Source organism: Homo sapiens, chromosome 22 (assembly GCF_000001405.40).
Source record: "Homo sapiens chromosome 22, GRCh38.p14 Primary Assembly".
Lineage (NCBI taxonomy): Eukaryota > Metazoa > Chordata > Mammalia > Primates > Hominidae > Homo > Homo sapiens.
This window is the reverse complement of record NC_000022.11, coordinates 48,032,527-48,048,801: the sequence shown is the minus strand read 5'-3', so window position 1 is coordinate 48,048,801 and position 16,275 is coordinate 48,032,527. Positions and strand designations below refer to the sequence as shown.

At 43.8% G+C, this 16,275-nt stretch overlaps 1 long non-coding RNA gene across 1 annotated transcript, besides 2 other annotated features; it reads left to right on the top strand.

The window, feature by feature from the left end:
• The first annotated feature begins 252 nt into the window (after nucleotides 1-252).
• Nucleotides 253-4,092, top strand: LOC124905150 (uncharacterized). The gene is made up of 2 exons (XR_007068162.1): nucleotides 253-332; nucleotides 3,801-4,092. It is a non-coding gene; the product is annotated as an uncharacterized LOC124905150 (long non-coding RNA).
• Nucleotides 5,258-5,758: an enhancer, noted in NCBI's record as "H3K4me1 hESC enhancer chr22:48438861-48439361 (GRCh37/hg19 assembly coordinates)". NCBI's record gives its function as "activates a minimal SCP1, AML or CMV promoter by ChIP-STARR-seq in primed H9 embryonic stem cells {active_cell/tissue: H9 hESC(primed)}" and the evidence as "EXISTENCE:reporter gene assay evidence [ECO:0000049][PMID:30033119]".
• Nucleotides 5,759-6,259: an enhancer, noted in NCBI's record as "H3K4me1 hESC enhancer chr22:48438360-48438860 (GRCh37/hg19 assembly coordinates)". NCBI's record gives its function as "activates a minimal SCP1, AML or CMV promoter by ChIP-STARR-seq in primed H9 embryonic stem cells {active_cell/tissue: H9 hESC(primed)}" and the evidence as "EXISTENCE:reporter gene assay evidence [ECO:0000049][PMID:30033119]".

The window sequence follows — 16,275 nt, the reverse complement described above, 5'->3', positions numbered from 1 at the left end:
TTACCTTTCCTCTTGCAATTCAACTTTTCAAAGAGAGAAAATGAAAATGTGATTTTCTCCAGGCAAATCTCTCACAGTTTTATACATTTTCCTCTCTGGGCAGGAATAGACCTTTCTTTTTTTTTTTTTTCTTTTAGAAAAATCGAAAGTGGTTTTTAAATGTCAAATTTTCTGATGGAGGACAAACTGCCTTTTAAATATCACAGTTTCTAAAATGCACCCTTGTTAATTTTACTCTCGTCATCTTTCTCCAGAACCTGTCCCAAGTCTCCATACTGAGCATCATAAGGATGTATATTTTCTGGCCAAGTGGCAATGATGAGTTTTCAGAGGTAGGTATTTGGGATTAATTAAAGGAGAATGTTCTCATAATTGGCAGGGACACTGTGGCAGGCTCTCACTCCTGGTCCAGGGGTCTGGACCTTCCCACTTGCTCCCTGCAGGATCTGGGCAGCCCATGCTGGCCTGCAGGTGCGTCACTGCATCTCATGGGCATGCCAAGCTCCAGAGGTACCCTGCTGTGAGCTGCCTGCCTGCATCCAGCCCTGGCAGAAGCCTCAGGCTTCAGCATGGGCCTCTGTGAGTCAGCTGAACCTTGCACGGCTCCTCCCAACACATGACCTTGCAGAAGAGATTTAAATTTCTTCTCACATCAGGGTCTCAGCACAAGTGAGGAGGCCATGAGGACCATGTCATCTACTGCTGAGGGAATCAGGAGTTGGAGCGTCTCACTAACAGCTTAGGATGCAAGGTGGGCTCGGTTCATGCTGACGCAGTTCTCAGCCCCACAGTCAGGAAGGCTGTAGGCCCCGCAAAAGGAAGAGTCCACCAGCAGGGCAGGAGAGCGATCCAGGACCATCACTGGGCCAGGGCCAGGCACAGGAGCCAGCCTCTGGCTTTGTCTTTAGCATGGACTGAGCACAGAGGCAACAGCCCCTGAGTACCCACCTTGAACGGAGGGGACCCTTTCCCCCAGCCTGTTCCAGCCCAGCGGAGCCATGGAGAAGCCCAGAGGCACTTCCAAGAGGGGGAAGCTCCCAGGCTGTGGATTCAGGATGTGTTAGTTACCTACAGCTGCCCTAATAAATTAACCCAAACAAGGTGGTGTTAAAACAACAGGCATGGACTCCCTCACAGTTCTGAAGGCTAGAAACCCCAGATGGAGGTGACGGCAGGGTTGTCTCCGTCTGCAGGCTCTGAGGGAAAGTCTATTCCAGGCCCCTTTCCAGCTTCTGGGTACTTCAGGCCTGTAGAGGCACCACCCCCATCTCTGTCTCCATCTTCATGTGGCCTCCCCTTGTGCTTCTCCCCATCTTTTCTAGGGACGCTTGTCATTGGATTTAGGACCCACCCTAATCCAGATGAGCTCATCACAAGACTCTTTTTTTTTTTTTTTGTGAGACAAGATCTTGCTCTGTTGCCCAGGCTGGAGTGTAATGGCACGATCTCGGCTAACTGCAACCTCTGCCTCCCAGGTTAAGAGATTCTCCTGCCTCAGCCTCCTGAGTAGCTGGAATTACAGGCATGCACCACCATGTCCAGTTAATTTTTATATTTTTAGTAGAGATGGGATTTCACCATGTTGGCCAGGCTGGTCTCGAACTCCTGGACTCAGTTGTTCCACCTGCCTCAGCCTCCCAAAATGCTGGGATTACAGGTGCGAGCCACTGTGCCCGCCCACAAGATTCTTAATTGCATCTGCAAGGACCTTTTCACCAAATAAGCTCAGATTCACAGGTCCCAGGGGCTACAATGTGGACGTGGTATTTTGGGAATCATCATTCAACCCACTACAAGAAATGAGACTTACCTCCAGCTCAGGGAGCAGAGGGCACCCCCCAGTGTAGACAGCGCTGAACCTCAGTGTGGGAAGGGAAAGACAGGAGTAGCAACAATAGTGAAAGAATAAGAATACATCTTGCCCGGGCTTCCTGTCAGGAAGGAGCATGAAGAGAGAAGCCGTGTGTATGCGTGGACTGATGTTTTTAATAATGGTATCTCCTGAGCTGCATCCCACACTTAGGGGTAACTCTCATCCTATGTCCAAAGCTCTATGTCATGGAAATCAAATTTAAAACTGACACCAAGCATCGAGATGAGAGCATTTGGGCGTCAGAGAGCATCACTTGTACACATTCAAAAAGAAAAACCTTGGAGCTGGTTATGAGGCTGCTACCAGGCACAGGCCTCAAGGAAGTCCGAGGGTCCCCTCTGCTCAGACCCAGAATCCCATGCCGGGGGTGGACGTGGCTTTGGCAGAAAGAGTTCTGGGAAGCTCCTCACTGTCAAATGCAGAGCGGAGGCCAGGAGAGGACCCTGGTCCTTGGAGTCACCCAGGAGCTCACCTTTCTGGGCTCCTGGGCTCTGAATCCACTCCCTAGCACAAATTCATGGGTTTCTTAGACTAACTTCTATATGTTTTTATAATGGGAAGAAATGGCTTATAAGATTCAAAGCAATGAGACCTTCGTAGCACTCAGTTCAGTGCCAGGCACATGTAGACAGGAAATCAAAGTCAGTGGCTGTTCAAGCTGAATTCACGTCCAGGCCCTGCCACCAAATTGCCGAGCAACTTTGCTCCCCTGTGAGAGAAGGTGAATTCTGCCCAGTGTCCCAGTTCCCTGTATAGCAAGCATCCCGAGCACAGTGAGGTTTGGGACGCCGGTTCAGGAGATCTAAGCTCAGGTCACTGAATGGTTGCCATTCCGCAAAAACAGAAGTTGGGGATTGAAAATATTTCAGGTAGCCTGACACGGTGGCTCACGCCTGTAATCCCAGCACTTTGGGAGGCCGAGGCGGGTGGATCACCTGAGGTCGGGAGTTCGAGACCAGCCTGGCCAACATGGCGAAACCCCATCTCTACTAAAAATACCAAAAAAAAAAAAAAAATTATATGGGTTTGGTGGCAGGCGCCTGTAATCCCAGCTACTTGGGAGGCTGAGGCAGGAAAATCGCTTGATCCAGGGAGGTGGAGGCTGCAGGGAGCCGAGATCGCACCACTGCACTCCAGCCTGGGCAACAGAGTGAGGCTCTGTCTCAAAGAAAAAGAAAATGTTTCAGGTGTTCCATGGAGCAGTGTCACTGCCACTCCCTGCTGTGGGGAAAGGCAGAGAGGGAAGGCAGCTGTGAGTGGAGACATCACTGTGGTTGTGAATAAACCACTGAAACCATCGTCCCACAGCAGGCTGGTGGGTGGGGAGGCCCTGGGGTTAGACCTAACACCCTCCTTCCTGAGGGCCGACATTGGACAAACAGGTGTTTTGACTGTTGAAGACACACAGCTGGGGTCTCACAGCCAGCTCAGCCCAGAATGAAGCTCAGAGACCAGAGCTCAGCTCCTGAACAGGCGTCCCCAACCTCACTGTGCTCAGAACCCTTGCTGGACTGGGGACTGGGGAGACTGAGCAGAATTCACCTTCTCTCACGGGGGAACTACCTGGCGATTTGGTGGCAGGGTCTGGACATGAATCCAGCTTGAACAACAGCTGAGTTTGACTTCCTGTCTACCATGTGCCTAGCACTGAGCTGAGAGCTTTGAAAATTTCATTGCTCTGAATCTTAGAATGCCCAAAAAGGTCATCATGAAACCCATTTTACAGATCACGAAACTGCCATAGCAACGATCCTTGATGCATTTATTAAATTCATCCATCTGTTCAGCTTCACAGCCTGAGATTTTTCAGATAATTTAGACAACGGGAGTTTGTCTGACTTCAGTTATTCAGTTAGTGGCTCATACACAGAATATCATAACCAGAAAGATTTTCCTAAGGGTGGCATCCAATTTCTTCATTTTACAGAGGATGACACTGAGGTTCTGGGACGACCTGTGTCTCACCCAAGGCTGCCTGGGTAAAGGGGAGCAGAAACAGGTAGAGGGAGCTGGTCTCCTGAATCCGATCCAGCCCCGTTTTCCTGCCAAGCCCTGGGATGAGGACCTGAGACGCCTTCTCCCACCCACTGCTCTGCGCATTGCACAGAAGAGCGGCTGCTGGTAAAGTTCTGGGAGTTCTGACACATGCACGCCACAGAAACACAGGACTGGGGGTTGTCACCGCTATCAACGTTAATGACAATAAAGGGAAAACAGCATTTCAGTGTCACTTCACTGAGCCATGATTACTCATGCTTCCAGCAAATACTCAAGGAATCAGCACCCCCTACCATCCCTGCTTTATTATGTGTTTTTTTTTAAGCCAGCTCCACTAAACACAGGCTGCATCTGAGGCTGAGGCTGGTGTGGGGGTTAAGTTTCCTGGCAACACATCTGCTCCTTAGCCCTGAAACTTCAGGTTCCTTCTGGCTGGGGGCTGGGGGCTGGGATTGTTTCTGTAGTTCTCATTTCAGACTCTGCTGATGCCAATAAAAAGAAACAATGTCTATCTATCTATCTATCTATCTATCTATCTATCTATCTATCTATCATCTATCCATCTATCTATCCATCTATCTATCCGTCTGTCTATCTATCCGCCTGTCTATCCGTCTATCTATCCATCTATCTACCTATCCGTCTATCTATCCGTCTATCTATCAGTCTATCTATCCATCTATCTATCCATCTATCTGTCTATCCGTCTGTCTATCTATCTATCTATCTATCTGTCTGTCAATCTATCTATCCATCTATCTGTCTGTCTGCCTATCCATCTACCTATCCGTCTGTCTGTCAATCTATCGTCTGTCTGTCAGTCTATCAGTCTATGTATCCATCCATCTATCTATCTATCCGTCTATCTATCTATCAATCTATCTATCATCTATCTGCCTATCTATTCAACTATCTATCCGTCTATCTACCTACCTATCTACCTACCTACTGACAATCACGTGCCATTAAATGAGATTTCTCTCAATAATAGACCTCACAAACAAAGGTCGTCTCCTGAGATTAGGACGCTCCACCTTCACTGTGCCTTTTCTTTGTTTAGATGGCACAGTACTTGCCATTGTGCTGCAGTCTCCTGCAGGATCTATACAGTCACACACTGAACAGGTGCATGGCCCAGGAGCAACTGGCCATACCACATAGCCTCGGTGTGTAGGAGGCTGTGCCGCCCAGGTGTGTGTGAGTGCACCCTGTGATGTTCACATAGCCATAAAATCACCCACAGGTGCATTTCTCAGAGCATATTCCTGTCTTTAAGCAACACACGACTGTATTTATTTATTTATTTATTTATTTAGAAGGAGTTTGTTCTGAAACAGAAGCCAAAATATTCTCTGGGTCCTTTTTGGGGAATGGGCTAAGAACTTCCTTGGGAAAGGCCTCAGCCCCTTCCATTCCCACCCACAGTTCCAGCTGGAGGGCCAGGGAGGCTGCCCAGGCCACAGTCCCATGATCACAGCTGATACATGGCAGATCCCCAGGTAAGGGCCAGGTGGGCATGGGCTGATGGCAAGGGTAGGGCCTGGGCATTTTCTGCACTCAGGTGGGGCTGCAGGGCCCCAAGGCCACAGGCAGAGAAGCCCCTACCTGCCCAGCCCTGGGCAGCACCTGCGCCACACATCACCTACTCACTGCCATAACCGGGCGGCCTGGTCCTCCCTGCGGGTAGGAAGCGCGGCATGTCGATGCCTCAAAGGCCAGAGCAGGCGGACACAAGATGTGCGTACACCCACCTGGGGCTTCTGGATGTCACCTCCACCTGCTAGGACCAGGCGCTACTCTTCCTGCCAGGGTCCTGCCAGGGTCCTGCCAGCAGCTGGGCAAGGCATCGGCGGCAGTGAAACCAACCACAGGCCACTTCTGCTGCTCACGCAGAGTCTCAGTGCAGGAAACCACCCCCAGGAGTCCTCCCAGGTCCAGGCACAGAGGACAATGCTTGGGTCATGGACATGGTGGAGGAATGCAGCCTCAGGAGATGTGAGTGGCAGCCCACACAGTGTCCCTGCCTCCTTGGCCTGGCAGCTGCTCTACCTGGCATGGATGCCGGCCCCACCCCGACCTGAGCCTGGTTCAGACATGACACTCCAGTTCCTTCCCAGGCCTCATGGACCCCGGGGGAATTCCAGTGCTGCCTGCTTGCCATTGCCTCTCAGATGCTCTGTGTGTGTGTGTGTGTGTGTGGTGTGCGTGTTATGTGATATGTGCCATGTGGTGTGTATGTGCTGTGTGGTGTGTGTTACATGTGTACTGTGTGGTGTGTATGTGTGGTATGCAGTGTGTTGTATGTGTGGTGGGTGTCATGTGTGTTGTGTGGTATGTGGTGTGTTTGGTGGTTGTGGTTGTGTTGGTCAGTTACTGTCACTGTCTCTCTTTCTCTCTCTCACACACACACACCACACAATTTCTTCAATCCTCACAAGAAAACTTTAGTTTACTGTAAAAGCGACCACTGTGAATGACATCTGCTTTGGGAAGATGTATTCTTTCTTACGCCCCCTAGACATTATGAAAACCCTGGGTGTTATACATAAAGCAGGCATGAGAAGATTCTGGTAAAGGCAGGCCAACTAGGGGCCTCAGGACCCAGGGAGTGTCAGGATGGTGAGTCCCTGGGGTTTCCTTTGGCATCATATACCCCAGACTCCACCCCGATTGAGGAGGAATGGAGCGCCCCTCCCAGCCCATCAGGGTAACAGAGGAGGCCCAGGGAAGAGTCGGATTTTCACCACTGTTCGTGATCTGCTAATTTTTTATTTCTTTTATAGAGATGAGGTCTCACTCTGTTGCTCAGGCTTGTTTCCAACTCGTAGGCTTAAGTCATCCTCCCACCTTGGCCTCCCAATGTGCTGGGATTACAGGTGTGAGCCACCATACGTGGCCGTGGATTTTTTTTTTATGTGGTTGAGTTTTGAGAGTTCTGTACATATTCTAGATACTAGAACATCTTCAGCCTCTTAGCAGGGTCTTTCACAGATTGAGTTTTTAATGTTGATGAAGTCAGTTATTAGCTTTTCCATTTATGTATTATGTTTATGGTGTCAAGTCTATGAACTCTTTGCCTAACTGTAGGTCCTGAAGATTTTGTCCTATTTCTTTTCCCAAAACCCTTTATTTATATGCTTTAAGGTATCTTCTTTCCACTCTCCTTTCAGAATTCTGATCACAAGAATATTAGATCTTCTGTTATAGTCCCACTGGTCCCTGAGAGTCTATTCATTTTTTTCATTCTATTTTATTTCTCTAGTTCAGATTGGGTAATTTCTATTGCTCTATTTTCCACTTTAATGATTTTCTCCTCAATCCCCTCCATTCTGCTGTCAAGCCATCCACTGAGCTTTTCGTGTTGGTTATAGTATTTTTCAGTTCTCAAATTTTCATTTAGTACTTTTTATATCTCCTATTTCTTTGCTGAGACTTTGTATTTCTTTGTTGAGGCATTTTGTGTCTTCGCTTGTTTAAATGTAATTGTAATTGCCCATTGAAACATTTTTATTGTGGCTGCTTTGAAATCCTTGTCAGATAGTTCTAGCATCTCCGTCTTCTAGGTGTTAGCATCTATTGATTTTTTTTTCCTTTAGTTTGAGTTCATCTGTTCATAGTAGAGTGGATGATTTTCCACTGAAACCTGGACATTTTTGTATTATATTCTGAGACTTTGAGTCTTATTTAAAACTTTGCTCTTATCTGTTTTTTTCTGATACTGTCCCAGCAGCAGAAGAGGGGCACTGCCTCACTCCTGCCAGAACTCTCAAAACTCAACCATATAAAAAAAATCCATGGCCAGGCATGGTGGCTCACACCTGTAACCCCAGCACATTGAGGGGCCAAGGTGGGAGGATCACTTGAGGCCAGGAGTTTGAGGCTGCAGTGAGCTATAATTGCACCACTGCACTCCGGCCTGAATGTGAGAGAGAGACACTGACTCTATAAAAATCAAATAAAATAAAATTTAAAAAACAGCTAGAATTCAGAAGACATGAAGAAATATTAAACCACATTTGGATTTCATTACACATCTACCAAAATGGCTAAAACAAAAAAAGTGACAACACCAAATGCTGTCAAGGATACGTAGAAATTGAATCATTCATGCATTGCTGGTGGGAATGTTAAATGGTAGAGCCACTCTGGAAAACAGTTTGGCAATTTCTTAAAAATTAACCATGGAACCCAGCAACTGTATTCCTGGGTATGTATCCCAGAGAAATGAAGATTTATGTTCACACAAAATCCTGTATACAAATGTTTACAACAGTTTTTTTTGTTGTTGTTCAAAATAGCCCCAAACTGAAAACAACCCAGATAGCTTGTAACAAGTAAATCGTTAAAAAAAAAAAAAAAGTATCCTGTAATCCCAGCACTTTGGGAGGCTGAGGCGGGTGGATCACGAGGTCAGGAGATCGAGACCATCCTGGCTAACATGGTGAAACCCCGTCTCTACTAAAAATACAAAAAATTAGCCGGGCATGGTGGCAGGCGCCTGTAGTCCCAGATACTCAGGAGGCTGAGGCAGGAGAATGGCGTGAACCCGGGAGGCAGAGCTTGCAGTGAGCAGAGATCTTGCCATTGCACTCCAGCCTGGGAGACAGAGCGAGACTCCGTCTCAAAAAAAAAAAAAAGTATCAGCATACTTAAGGCTACTACTCAGTAGTAAAAAGAAACAAACAACTTCCCTAAATTTCCAGAGCATTATGCTGAGTGAAAAAAAAAACCCAACCCTCGAACGTTACATATGCCACAATTCCATTATTATAATAGCCTTGAAATGACCACATTCTAGAAATAGAGACGAGATTAGTGGTGCCAGGCATTGAGGACGGTGGGGTGCAGGAAGGAATGGGTGTGGTTACAAAAGGGCATTTGAGGATGCCCTTGCTGGTGGGAATCGCTGGCTTATTGGCTTGTTTCCAACTCCTAGACTCCAAGGATCGCTGGATGATAGAAATTTTCTGTGACTTGACCTTGTCAATGTCAATATCCTGGTTATGATAATGTGCTATGATTTTGCAAGATGTTGCCTGTAGGGGAAACTGAGTAAAGGGTACATGAGTTTTTTCTGTATTATATATCTTATAATGGTATGTGAATGTGATTCTACAATTATCTCAAGATAAAAAGTCTAATTACAAGGGCACAGGCCATAAGCATTACATCTGCCTATTTCCATGTCTTGAGATTCTTCATACTTGTCAATTTGACTGTGTAGGGTAGACCTTGGGTTTTATGGCATCTGCTATCTCTCTCAGAACACGTCTGCCATCATATTGCAAAGCTTGTTCTCAGTCTCCTGGAGCATGAGAGACTGTATGGAGCAAGAAAGAGCCACCCCAGTAGGCCGGGATGCCCCTTCCTCCACCAAGCTGGCTGCTTAGGGTTGTCACCTGAGTGGGCTCAGGTGAGACCAGCAGGGACCAGGACACCAAGCTCAGAATCATGCAAGTGCATGTATTGTTCTAAGTCACAAGGAATGGGGGCATTTGTTATGCGGCAGTTGATAACTGACACAGGCTGAATGGTTATGTGTTAGGGATGCTGGGCGTGTGGTATGGACGTGACCTTGGATGAGAAGGTGGCCCAAACTCCTTCTCTTCTGAGGTCTGGGGCTCTATCTCAAGGCTATAAATTAAGTTCAGGCCCCTATAAGGCACTTGCATTCTTAGCTTGGAGAGAGACATTTGTCTGTCAAAGACAGGATCTGTGTTTCCTTTTCAGTCTCATCTATTTACAAGTGTGCCTCCAGGTTCTGTTGAAATTTGTCTGAGAATTTATGGTCTCAGCCGATCAACCATCCCTTGAATTATTCAGCTTCCTAAAGCCTCACCTCACAACAGGAAGTGAGCCCAGTCAACTTTCTATGAAATAATCCATCAACACCACAGGCTACATGGTGGACTGATTGACGTTCAAAGGCCTTGTATTTGCAGTTTTGCAAGTTATGCCTATAATACTCACAAAGGTGAAAAAAACCCTGTGAGTATTATTCAGCTGTAAACTACAGACAGGAAAATATCTCAAGCAAAATAACCATGGCTTGCATTGTTTAGCACTACATAAATTTCAAAGAGCTTTCAAATCTGAGATGATTTTTGGCCTTTATGGCATTTCTCTGACATGGGAAGAGGACATACTTATATGAGGAAATCTAGCTGCCACTCAGTCCTAACACGTTAGGACTAGTCAACAGCTAAGCTGAGCAAACTGCCTTTCCCCGAAATGTAAAATTTTGACTGGTCCTAGCTGCATTCACTTCTGTATCTATAGGAGGCACATCACAGATGCTCAATCTGAATTTGTACGTGTTTTCTGTCATAAAGGTACCTTGCTCAACCTGACAACCTTAACCCCTAATAGACCACCTTGCTCATAATAAGTGCCCAAGTGATGTTTCCTAAGCAGAGTTGAGTTACTACTGGTGAACAACATTTTATGACTGTTTCCTTTATTTAAATGCTAATTTTTTTAAAAGCTCACATGCTGACTTAGTCCACCTCTTCTGTTGGATATATGCAAGCCCCAGTAAACACAAGCCAGTGGTGATAAGTGAGGGTTGCATGAAAAAATATCAACAGACTGTGGAGCCCACATCAACACTCAAATTCACAAATACCCTTGGCAGTTCAAACACATTCTCATTTGCAGCTGGATGACCTGGGAAGTAACACTTATGCTCTCTGGACTTTTGATTTCCCATCCAAAAACAGGAGCAATGATACCAACCTTGTTGGCAGTTATGATAATTAAGAGTAATATGTGCTAGCCGTCTGTCAGAGATCTTGTTCCGCATGAGGGCTGCTACAAGGGCAGATGCTCTTACTGTTGACAGAGACTGCATATTGTAGGTCAGTAGAGTTCAAGTACCCAGTATTATAATCAGAAACAAAAGGATTGCTATCATTGGAGCGAGGCAGAACTGAAGCTGCCTTCTCATTTGTCAACACTCAGCTTAAAGGACACTCCCTATAGATGCTACCTCTTTCCTTCTCCAAAGGTGGCACCCACACCCCTCCATGGCTTGTGGTACAGACCATCCTGCTGTGCTGGTGACTTCCCGCCTCTGTACCTGTGTCCTGGGCTATACTGCCCCTGCCCTCATCCTCCAGGCTGGTTCCTGGGAGGTATCCAGAATGGGAATCACGCTGAGAATTCCTACCTTCCACATCTATAGTGTCCACCCCTGCACCTTCCTGCCTCCCTGGAGCATCCAAGTAAGTTCACTCTTGCTGAAGCCAAGTCCCCTTCTCATTTCTCTGTTGCTGAGCTGCGTTGAGCAGAGTCTGGGATGAAATGCTGGTGGTGGAGAGAGGAAAGCAGAGGAAGAGGTCTAGCATTTGAGGCTCAGAGCTTGAAGTCTGAGACCCATTTTCTTTGCACCTCCAGAATGGAGATGGATCCTCCTATCCCAAGATAAGCTCTTACCTTGTAGTCTTGCAAAATACCGTGAGAACCCTAACTATTTTGTAAAAAGTGTGATAAAGCAGATTTGCCCCAAGTCCACAGAAGTATGCAGTTCTGTGTGCCCATGGAGAGGCTGGCTCTGCCTTGGAAACGACAAAGCTCCATTCAGGTTCTTGTTAAAATGCAGATCGGGATGTAGTAGGTGTGGGTAAGGGCCTGAAACTCTGCATTTGTAACAGGGTTCCTGGTGCTGCTGCTGTCGCTGGTCCTTGCAGCCCCTGTAGCCCAGGGAGGCCAAGGGCTGGAATCCTGGATTTAGGGGTCCAGCTGTGTGGCTTACGGCACATGGCTTATCCTGTCATCTCTGTAAAATGAAGACAGGAATGCTCGTCTCCTTGGGTTGCAGGCAGAACTGAGAATTCTATGGGTAACTACAGCTGTCAGAAGGGCGATGTGGTGTCAGGCGCAATATACAGCTTCCTTACACAGGCAACAGATGCAAGAGCTTCGGGGAAAAAGAGAAATGAGGTATCAGGTCAGGGAAAGTCATGGAGAAAACTTAAGTGCTTATGGCTAAGTGAGAGAAGCCAACCTGAAAAAGTTACAGACTGTGTGATTCCAACTACACGACATCCTGAAAAAGGCAAAATTATGAAGACAGTGGTTGCCAGAGGTTCGGGTGGAGGCAGAGAGGAGCAGGTGGAGCACAGAGGATTTGTAGGGCAGGGGAGCTCCTCTGGATACTGTAATGGTGGATTCCTGTCATATTTGCCCAGACCTACAGAATGCAGAACACCAAGCATAAACCCTGGTGGAAATTATAGATTTGGGCCAATGTATCAATATCGGCTCATCAATTTTAACAACGTACCACTCCAATGCAAAATGTCAATAACAGAGAAATGGTGTGCGGGACATGTATAGGAACTCTCTGTATTTTCTGCTCAATTTGTCTATAAACCTAAAATGGCTCACAAAAATAAAATCTATTGTTATTTTTTAAAATGAAAATAAAAATAAACATTAACAGATATTTCAAATTCTAAAAGAGATACAAGAACTTAGCAGCAGAACTGTGGCTAGCAGAGGACAGAGAGCAGGGGGCAAGCCTCCTCCCCCTCCATCCTCATCTCTCCACCTTCCATCTCCTCCTCTACCAAAAAAGAAGCACCAATAATAAAAATACCAGCAGTCCACAGAAACCAAGACTCCATCTGTTCTGTGGTAAAGCTGCTCTTTGCCAACCCTAAGGAGATTTTCCGTCCGTCCTTTTGAACTCATGGCCGCTTTCCTCCCAGCTCACCAGAGGCAGATCACAATGGAAAAGGCAGCATTTTTCCAAGTGTCCTCTCTAAGGCTGGGCAAGAGGAAGATCAAGTTCGAGGGAAAACATTCTCTAGCAGGTTTGCCCTGCAGCGTTAGGCCTGACTCCGAGTCTATCCACGCATAACAATCTCACAGAGTGCCCGGCCCAATCTTAGTGCTTGGCGGGTGGGAGACGTCACCGACCTTCCTCCAGGGATCAGGCAGTGTCCACACCCCGCCCTGCTGTCTGGTCCAGAGCTACAGCTTACACCCATGTAGAATTGCCACTTTTTAGTGGAATAAATAGCTCTTATCTACACTGGATCTTAGTCAAAAGTCCAGGAAACAATGAGAGCTCTTGTCTATGGAAGCACTTGTTGAAAATATTTTAGTTTCCATGGTTGCTGAAAACCCTAAAGGTAAGATGACCCTACAATTTATCAGTGAAACTAAGATACATTTGAGAATAAATGGCACAGAAGCACTACAGATAATTTTTAAAAAATTATATATGTACATACTTATGAACATGTTCATACACAAATCAATTTGTTTTATTCTATTGATAAGCCTATTAAATAATTCTATTCAAAAATAATTTGCAAAAATAAAATGTATTTCAAAAAATAGCATCTATTCATGTTCATTAAAGCATGACTTAAAAAGTCTTATCTTTAGTTATTAATATCATACTAATTTTATTTATTTATTTATTTTGAGACAGAGTATCACTCTGTCACCCAGGCTAGAGGGCAATGGTGTGATCTTGGCTCTTTGCAACCTCCACGTTCTGGGTTCAACCAATTCTCCCACCTCAGCCTCCTGAGTAGCTGGGACTACAGGTGCACACCCCAATGCCCAGCTCATTTTTGTATTTTTAGTAGAGATGGGGTCTTGCCATGTTGGCAGGCTGGCCTCGAACTCCTGAGCTCAAGTGATCTGCCCACCTCGGCCTCCCAAAGTGCTGGGATTAGAGGTGTGAGTCGCTGCACCTGGCCTATTATACTGATTTTAAAATTAAACAATAGTTTAATAAATTTGGGCACAATCTATGTACTTTTTGATCTATTTCTTAGCCAGATCCATATAAAATATATATCACTAGTATTTTGCTGAAAAAGTATTGTTAATATGGTTTTAATTTGAACATTTTCAAAATAGTGACTATAATTTTTTTCAAGGTCAAATTTTATGAATAAGGCACTTGAAAATATGATAAATTAAATGATGACAAATCCAAATGACCCTTCTCTTCAAACCTTGGTATTTTTAGTTGAGAAAATATTTTATCTGTAGGTCCTGAAATACCCGGTAAGCTCAGATAAATTTCTGCTAAACGTGAATATTCTCATATGTAAGTTTTTACTGAAATATTAAATACATCAACTTGTAAATTTTCACAAGTATACACTACTTAAATTCTTTAGGTAAAGCGGAGTAATATAGAATGGAAAGTCAAATCTTTAACAAAGACTCAAGAGAACATATGTAGATAAATATAAAAGACTCTATTTTCTTCTTATTTCTTTGAAATACAATTTGTTTTTATATTTCTTTGAAATACAATTGTTTATAACTAAGCGTAGAGTATTACATTGTGGCATACATGATAATGTAGACATGATATATATGATATTAACTCTAGCACAAAATACCAGGTGAAGGTAAATAGAGCTGCAAGCTTGCAAGGCTTTTACATGATAATACATATAAGGTGGCACAATTTCAACACTAAATATACTTAAACATGAATAGAATATATAATAATCTCTACAGCAACTGCAAAAAAATCAATATTGGCAGGGAAGAGCTGAACAACACTATTATCACCCAAATTGGTACTTTCAGAGAACTACTCACATGACTTCAAAATCCATATTCCATTCAAGTACAAGCATGTTGTAATCGCCAAGATAAATCATATGCCGGGCCATAAAATGAATATCAGTCAAGTTAAAATGATTATAAGAATATTGAATATGCTCTTTGACTAGAACAAAACTGAGTCAAAAATCAACAAAAACACAGTATCTGGAAATCCCCAAAATAACAGAAATTAAATAATATATTCCTTAATAATTATAGATCAAAAAAGAAATTACAAGAGAAAAAATATTTTGACCAGATTCTTAATGAAAACACATTAAAAACTTCAGGTTGTTAATTCAAGCTCTTCAAAATGTAGTTGAAGCAGGCTTCCAAGAAACACACGACAATAAATGCTCATATTTGAAAATGATAATGGTATAAATTCAATGATATAAAATTGCATTTTTAGAAGTTAGAAGCAGAAAAAACAGTAACCCAAAACAAGTAAGAATAAGAAAATAGTAAAGATAAGAACTAGAATCTAGAATATAGAGAAAAGAAAAACAGTAGAAAAATTAATGAGCCCAAAATTTAGGTTTTTGAAGATCGAAAAAATCGATAAACTTTTAATATGATTCATTAATAAAAAAGGAGAGTACAAATTACAGTTAACAGCAGTGAAATTGCGGGGAGGGCATCACTACAGATCCTATGGACATTAAAAGGAAATGAGGGAATGTTGTGGAGGCGTTTACGTCAATATACTTGACAAGTTAGGTAAATTTATTGAAATAAAATTTATCATAATTGACTCAAGATGAAATAGGAAACCTGAATAGGCCAAAATGTATAATAAAGGGGAGAGCTCCTTTGTCCGTGGAGTGAGGATTCACTCTATTCGTTTAGCTATCGCTCCTCCCCAAATTGAATTTTAGATTCCATACAATTGTCAAAACATTTCCAGAAGGCATTTTTGTGGAATTTGATAATTTGGTTTGGAACTTTATAAGAAATGGAAATACCTCTAACATTAAAATAAATATTTTTAAAATAACAAAGTTAACAAAACATCTGACTTCAAACTTGCTATAAAGCTATAGTAATTAAGATACTGATATAAAAATAGAAAGATTGAGGGCTGGACACGGTGGCTCACGCCTGTAATCCCAGCACTTTGGAAGGGTGAGGTGGATGGATCACGAGGTCAAGAGATTGAGACCATCCTGGCCAACATGGTGAAACCCCATCTGTACTAAAAATACAAAAATTAGCTGGGTGTGGTGGCGTGCGCCTGCAGTCCCAGCTACTCGGGAGGCTGAGGCAGGAGAATCGCTTGAACTCGGGAGCTGGAGGTTGCAGTTAGATTACTGAAATAAAATAGAGTACCCTGTGTTTTAATAGTCTATTAATTTTTTATTTAAAATATTTTTCTGTATTTTTCCTTTTTTCTTTTCATATTTAATGTATCCAGCTGATCATAGTCCATTAATGTTTGAAGAATAGCACCAAAGCAATACAATGTGAAAGAAAAAGTCACTTCAACAAATGGTGCTGGAACAACAAGATACATTTAGGAAAAATTAAATCTCAGCCCAATCTCACAATATACACAAAGATTTAATCTGTAAAGCTTCTAGAAGAAAACAGACAAAAGAACGTCTTCATGAATGGAGGGTATGAAAAGTTTTCTTAATACACAGAAAGCAATACCGTAAAAGAATAAGACATAATTAATTTGTCTTAATTAAATGTATGCCTTCTCATTAAAAGAAAGCATTAATAAAATGAACGAGCAAGCCACAGATTGCAAGAAAATATTTGCAAAATATGTATCTGACAAAGACTTTTATCAAGTGTGTCTAGAGAACTCTTAAGGC